At 41.2% G+C, this 7,555-nt stretch overlaps 1 protein-coding gene across 5 annotated transcripts in view; it reads left to right on the top strand.

The window, feature by feature from the left end:
- Positions 1-7,555, top strand: part of CNN3 (calponin 3) — a 30,154-nt gene that overhangs the window by 18,331 nt on the left and 4,268 nt on the right. For 4 of the 5 annotated variants that reach the window (NM_001839.5, NM_001286056.2, XM_047444486.1 and 1 more), the window contains 4 exons: positions 5,256-5,377; positions 5,592-5,658; positions 6,522-6,659; positions 6,995-7,111. In NM_001839.5, the coding sequence (NP_001830.1) occupies positions 5,256-5,377; positions 5,592-5,658; positions 6,522-6,659; positions 6,995-7,111 (444 nt within the window). The remainder of the gene's footprint in view (positions 1-5,255; positions 5,378-5,591; positions 5,659-6,521; positions 6,660-6,994; positions 7,112-7,555) is intronic. The other variant, NM_001286055.2, reaches the window with a different exon arrangement.

Genomic DNA, 7,555 nt, shown 5'->3' with positions numbered 1-7,555 from the left:
CACCTGAAGTCAGGAGTTCAAGACCAGCCTGACCAACATGGCGAAACCCCATCTCTACTAAAAATACAAAAATTAGCTGGGTGTGGTGGTGGGCACCTGTAATCCCAACTACTCAGGAGGTTGAGGCAGGAGAATCGCTTGAACCCGGGAGGTGGAGGTTGCAGTGGGCCAAGATCACGCTATGGCACTCCAGCTTGGGTGACAGAGCGAGACTCCGTCTCAAAAAAACAAACAAACAACAACAAAAAACCAATTATTATTTTAGAATTACAAAAGAAAGTGAGGGCTAAAGAAAGGTCATGAAACAAGAAAGGACTGATCTGCATTTGAACTGAAGGGTGACTCCACACTGGTGCTCTTAGCTGTCCTGAGGAGAGAGCCAAGGGAAGCTCTAAGGGCTGAAGCCGCCACCACGACCACAACAGGATGAGCCCTGGACCCAGGCACAGGAACATGAAGAGGAGCAGGTGAAGCTGTCGGAGGAGCGAGAGCAGAGCAGGCCAATCGCTGAATGTAGGGAGGAGGATCAGCTGTATCCTATGCCCTAGGAGGCTTTTTTCTTGGTCTTCATTATCTTCACATGTTGATTGTATCTGGCTAGAGGGATGTTGGAGAGTTTCGGGGAGGAGTCTCCAGCAGGTGTGCCTAGACAGTATTCTCCTCGGTCTCTGGATCATTTGTAAGTGCTCCTTGATGCAAAGAAGGCTGTCAGGCACTGCTTGGAGAATGTGTGCGTGTTTAAGAAAGGAAGGTGGGCATATAAAGAGAGGGGCTGCTGTGGATTTGAAAGAGCCAGGCAGAAAGTCTGCGAAAGCAGCTTGGGAAGGCCAAGAAAATAAATCTTGAAGAAGAATAAAGAAAAGGATGTTTATCAACAACTTGGAAGAGTAATTTTTATTTTATTTTTATTTCTTATTTTTGAGACGGAGTCTTGCTCTGTTGCCCAGGCTGCAGTGCAGTGGCACCATCTCAGCTCACTGCAAGCCCCGCCTCCCGGGTTCACACCATTCTCCTGCCTCAGCCTCCCAAGTAGCTGGGACTACAGGCGCCCGCCACCACACCCGTCTAATTTTTTGTATTTTTAGCAGAGACAGGGTTTCACCGTGTTAGCCAGGATGGTCTTGATCTCCTGACCTCACGATCTGCCCACCTTGGCCTCCCAGAATGCTGGGATTACAGGCGTGAGCCACTGCGCCCTGTCAGGAAGAGTAATTTTTAAGTAAATTAGAGTGAAATTTCCATGAAGTATTAATGAGGTAAGTTTAAGCAATTATTTTAAGCTAACTTTCTTTTGTTGAGAGAAAGAAAATGTCAGCGTTTTTCTGCCAGATGTTGAGAAATTAAAGCTTTTTAGATGAAGATAGTAAATCATTTTTATTGGCCAAAGATTACTTTTTTAAATTGCTCTCAGTTCCTTGATTTTAAAAGATAATGCTGTTTAGCTGGCCTGACTGCATAAAGCTCACTTACTAGAAAAATATTCGAAGTATTTGGATAGGAGAATCCTGTTGCTCCTTTACTTAAAGGAAACCCTTAGCCCACACCAACAGTTATTTGATGTGGCTGCATTCCTAGTCTTAATTTTTAATTGATCATATGGGGCTTTGAGTTTTGCATGCTTGTACATACGAATTTCTTCTGTGCACGTGGTCATATGGTAAGTCTCAAGGACAGCATCACCTGTCCAGAGCTCCCCCCCACAACCACTCATTGGTAGAGCCAGGATTTGAACTGAGGTCCATCTGACTCCAGTGCTTGATTTTTCTATCTCATCACTTCCTTGACAAGAACTGTCAACAGAGAAGGTGAAAACTTCTTACTGGGATCTACTAGGATATTTCAAGTTAGGTCTGTAGTCACTTCGTGGTTTGGGGCATGGCACCAAATCTGTTGGACACATTTTGAACAAAGGATGCATAAATATGCTTTTAATGTTTTTCTGCTTAAATATTAATTGATGTCATTTGGTATGAGAATTACCATCACCATCCTGTGAAATATCCCAAACTACTCTAACATAATTTTTCTCTACATTTGAAGAAACGAGAAAATACTTCTTCAGTTTTTTATTATTTGACCAAATTGTGTAGATAGCTGAGAGTAGGAACGGACCTAGTGCAGGCATCCAGTTTAGACTTCCTCTTGGATCGAGAGAAGTTAGAGGAACTAACCCAGGCCCATAGCAAAGATAGATGGAGCCAGGCATGGCGCCAAGGCAGAACTCCTCTCACCCTAGCATATTATGTTTTTCTTCAGATTGATCAAAATATATCTCCTAGTTGAGAACGCCCTCACTTTTGGGGAAAAAAAAAATCACCTTACAATTAGTATTTGCTTTCCATAGTTAATGCTTGAGGAGTACTCTTTTCTCCTTTTCTTCTTTGCCTATCCCCTTTCATACCACCACCTCCAGTTTATATAGTGAGAATTTATTTTTCTAGGCACCCAGAACAAGACCCCAGTGTAAAAATATAGTCAAGACTTAAACGTGTCTATCGGCTGGACGCAGTGGCTCACGCCTTTAATCTCAGCACTTTGGGAGGCCGAGGCAGGCGGATCACCTGAGGTCAGGAGTTCGAGACCAGGCTGGCCAACATGGTGAAACCCCGTCTCTGCTAAAAACATGAAAATTAGCGTGGCGTGGTGGTGTGTGACTGTAATCCTAGCTATTCGGGAGGCCGAGGCAGGAGAATTGCTTGAACTCGGGAGGTGGAGGTTGCAGTGAGCTGAGTTCACGCCACTGCACTCCAGCCTGGGTGACAGAGCAAGACTCCATCTCAAAAAAAAATATTTTTAAAAAATGTGTCTGCCAATTTTTGTTTTATTTTCTAAAAGTGCCATAAAAATGGGTTTATTTGATGTGTTGGAGGAGATATATTATCCAAGAATATTTATCTGAGGTATAATAGGAGTAATGGAGGCAGGGGGTGGTGGCTCATGCCTGTAATCTCAGCACTTTGGGAGGCTGATGCGGGAGGATTGCATGAGACCAGGAGTTTGAGACTAGCCTGGAAAACAAATTGTATTTAAGACTGTCTTTTATAAACTAACCTCCAGGCCAGACTTGATCCATGAAACACTGCAAAGTTAGTCGTCTTAATATGAAAATATAAACTTACTGGATTTTCTTTTGTAATTCTGGTTAAGTAAATCTACAGTTCAAATCAATTATCCATTATTCTGTCAAAGCTGTAGAGCCATTTCTCCAACTTGGGTAAAGGGTGCAAAGGATCAAGAACTGCCATCTCCCTAATGCCACAGTAATTTAGTGAAATCATTTGCCCTCTCTCAGTCAAAGCAGAAGCTTCATGCCTTGGCGTGGCGGGGAGGGGAAAAGAGGCCCTGAAAACAGCCCAGGAGTGGTCTGATTATGTGCCAGGGGATCTCTCAGGCTCAGGTGCATGGTGAGCCTTCAAGAGGGGGACCTGGAATGTAGACATTTCCACCTACTTGACCTGGGAAACGGGATGTTTTTCCTACCTTGAGAAGTTAAAAGGCTGTTGTGGCTTTTGATGGACACAAAAAGGAACTGTGATCAAGTGTACGCTTTGAATCTGTTTTTTAAGACTCAGCGTTGGTTTTCACTGTTGGGTGACTTACAGGTAAGCTGGCCAGGTTCGTAAATGTCTGTCCTGATCCTGGTGATCAGGCTCTCTCCCTTGGAAAGGACCTGAATGCAGCCCACAGTCCTATATGCTCTGGCACTATGAACCTAGGGCATTTCCCACAGTTCTGCTTGGTTCCTCCGTGAGTGGTGTAGACTGGAACTTGTGGGACTTCTTTGTGACTAAAATGTCAAGATGCCATTTCATTTCTTCCAATGATTAAACCTCCCTATGTCTTATGGACACAGCAGACATTTCTACCTTCATTCCCATTTCCAATGATGTAATTGATTCCCAAGCTCATGATCTCTATCTCCTGAGCATTTCCTATGTATACTTGGCATTTTCACCAGTGCTGAATGAGAAGACAAATGATACTGGATCTTTCCTTCTTCCCAGCTGTGGGTTTTTTTTTGGCAGTGGGGCGGGAGACAGGGTCTCACTCTGCTGCCCAGGCTGGAGTGCAGTGGTGTGATCATGGCTCACTGTAGCCTCGATCTCGTGGGCTCAAGTGATCTTCCTACCTCAGCCTTCCAAGTCACTGGGATGACAGGCATGCATCGTCAAGCCCAGCTGAATTTTTTATTTTTAGTAGAGACAAGGTCTCTCAATGTTGTGCAGGCTAGTCTCGAACTCCTGACTCAAGAGATCCACCCAGCTCAGTCCCAAAGTGCCGAGATTACAGGTGTGAGCCACTATGCCTGCCTCAGCTGTGTTCTCCATAACCCTGATTGACCAGCCACTTTAAGGGGACTCCAGGACAAGGGATAGCTTAAGAACTTGGGCATGTGATTTTTTTCACAATATTTTGTTTAAATTTTATTTTTTCAATTATTTTAAATTGAGGTCTGGTCTTATTAAAAAGGGATCTTTCAAAACTTATGTTTAATAGTTTTACCATGTATAATAGCATAGCATTTGTGTTGGTAAGTTGGCCTTTATTTTTGAATTCTGCAAGTAAAAAGTTAAACTTTCTTTTAGTTTTATCACATGTTTGGGTGTCAGGTTCAATTCTAGATACTAAGAATCTGAATGAACTAGATGCTTTTCCTGCCTGTAAGAAGTCTAATAGGATAGAGACTACATAAACAGAATTTAAATATTGTACAGTAATTAGTACTGAGGAAAGTGTGTGTGTGTGTGTTTAGTATATAGTGTGTATTTGGCTGAATAGAAGGCAAATACCAGAACTTTCCAGTCAACAAAACTATTGGAATGTTATGTATTGGCCAGGTGAGATACTCTGTAAAATAACTGCATGTGTCAGAATCCTTTCCCCAGCTTTTTTTGGAATAGGGTGATTAATGACTTAAACCTTAAAGTTTGAGTGCCATATTGTAACATACCATTAAATCCTTGTCACTTCCTGTGGATCATGAAATCTGATGTCTCTTGATTGATGTTCTCTCCTTGTCAGTCCCAGCCTCTCCATGGTCTGTTCAAAATTTTGTATGACACGGTCTTCACCAAAAATTTGTTATTAGTTACTGAAGTTGTAACGGTTAAGTTTGCCATTGAGATCTATTGAGTGTCATTTACTACACTTCACAGCTGTGGTCTTAATGGCTAGTGAAAGCAGAGCGCGTTGTGAGTCGGCAGTTTCTGATGCTTTTGTGAAATTCTTCTAAAGTGAGTTAACCTGTATTTCAGATTGCTTCCAAGTATGATCATCAGGCAGAAGAAGATCTTCGCAATTGGATAGAAGAGGTGACAGGCATGAGCATTGGCCCCAACTTCCAGCTGGGCTTAAAGGATGGCATCATCCTCTGCGAGTGAGTTACAGCCCTCCAGAATCTGTTTCTGCTCTTCCAGTTCTTTCCACAGCCTTCTCTCTCACTCTCCTTCTCAGCCCAGGGTGTCAGACCTTGATATTCTACAGATATCTTTAATGCTTTCCCTTACTGATGCTAAAGGGAGCAACTTGATATTTCAATCCTTGTTTTTGTGTGCCAGTAAATAAGATGTCTCTCATATTTTTCTTTTCAGACTTATAAACAAGCTACAGCCAGGCTCAGTGAAGAAGGTCAACGAGTCCTCACTGAACTGGCCTCAGGTAACAGCCAAACCAACCACCTCTGGTTCTAGTTGGTTGCATTTTATGTAGTGAAAACTTGATTTCAGGTTTGGTTTTTTGGTTTTGTGTTTTTTTTTTTTTTAACTTTTTGATTACGGTTTTTACATAGACATTGTAGCAGAAATTTGTGCATATTTAATTTTTTGCCCTTTTGTAATGGTTCTGTAATTACTTATTTAACTAGTTCTGTAATTATTACGTTTAGCTTAGAAGTTTTCCTATATTTAGTCTGTGTACATTCAGAAAGGACTTGACACAGCTTACACAGAGAAATGCAACCCAGACCTTAAGGATAAGGGAAAAAACAAGGCATTCCACATAACTAACAGTGGACTGCAGAGCACTGTATCAGACATAACCTTAGTTCATGAGTGTGTATGAGGAAGGAAAATGGGATACTTACTGGTCTTGAACATGTGTTTGGAGATATGAGAGAATGAGTATTTAGTAACCACAAATGTATTCTGAAATTAAAATAACACATAATGAATTATTTATTAGTATGAGTAATTATACACCTTTTGACAAATAAAATTCCAGGCCTGGATAGCTCTGATACAGAATCCTTTTAAAATATATAAGGAAGATCTTGCCCATAAAAACTGAAAACACGTAACTGCTTAAAAATATTAAGACTGTGATGTGACCCACAGTGAGAGACACACTCTCTTCTTGCTCTTTCCTGTTCCAGAGAGAGCCATGCTTAGTATGTATTTGGTTGAATCCTTGTCAAACAGCTTTCTGGGCAGCGTCTTATAACTGTTTATGAAGACTTGGAATTCTTAGAAATTATGAATGTCAATATTTAGCTCCAGAAATTATAAAACTCTTCTTCTTTATAGTTGGAGAATATTGGCAACTTTATTAAAGCTATTCAGGCTTATGGTATGAAGCCACATGACATATTCGAAGCAAATGATCTTTTTGAGAATGGAAACATGACCCAGGTTCAGACTACTCTGGTGGCTCTAGCAGGTCTGGTACGTACATGTCTTTAATGGCTGGTTAACAGATTCCCACCACATTGGTGATGAATTGCATCATTGCTTTTTCATGGGGGTTCAGACCAGGTGGGGCGGGGCCTGTCTCTTCTGTAATTAGTAGCTTTGTGGAAAGGCTGCTGACATCAGCTGCATCGTACTAGATAGCTTACTTAGAACACTCACATTTCAAATGATGCAGTATATTATTGAACAGCCTTAAATACTTTTTATCTCTAGTTTGGGCCCCTTTGTCTATGGACATATCATTTCTTTGTTGTTCCTTCTGTGAAACTCTGTTGGCCTTTTCAGTTAGTGTGCATGTTTCTGTCTAGGCTAAAACAAAAGGATTCCATACAACCATTGACATTGGAGTTAAGTATGCAGAAAAACAAACAAGACGTTTTGATGAAGGAAAATTAAAAGCTGGCCAAAGTGTAATTGGTCTGCAGGTAAGTAATGTGGTGTTGCTTATTCAATTACTTATTCAATATGATTAATTCTCACCATGCAAAATATTAAGCCTCTCCTAAGAATAGACAGAAGTACTATAGTACTGGGGGGGGGGTGTAGTTTATACAATTTATATCTATTTATAAAGCCCATAAGACAGTGATAATTTTTTAGAGGAAACCTCAGGTATGCCACCTGACTTGACAATTATTTCTCCAGGAAACGAAAATTTTTAATTGAATCATATTGTCTTTTTTTTTTTTTTAAAAAAGAAAAATACACTTTTAAATTTTTTATTTTATCTTTTTTTTTTTGAGACAGAGTCTCACTCTTTTGCCCAGGCTGGAGTGCAGTGACGCGATCTCGGCTCACTGTAACCTCCACCTCCTGGGTTCAAGCAATTCTCCTGCCTCAGCCTGCCAAGTAGCTGGGATTATGGGAAT

This window comes from Homo sapiens, chromosome 1, assembly GCF_000001405.40.
Source record: "Homo sapiens chromosome 1, GRCh38.p14 Primary Assembly".
Classification (NCBI taxonomy): domain Eukaryota; kingdom Metazoa; phylum Chordata; class Mammalia; order Primates; family Hominidae; genus Homo; species Homo sapiens.
The sequence above is the reverse complement of the archived record's forward strand: the minus strand, read 5'-3'. Positions and strand labels throughout refer to the sequence as shown.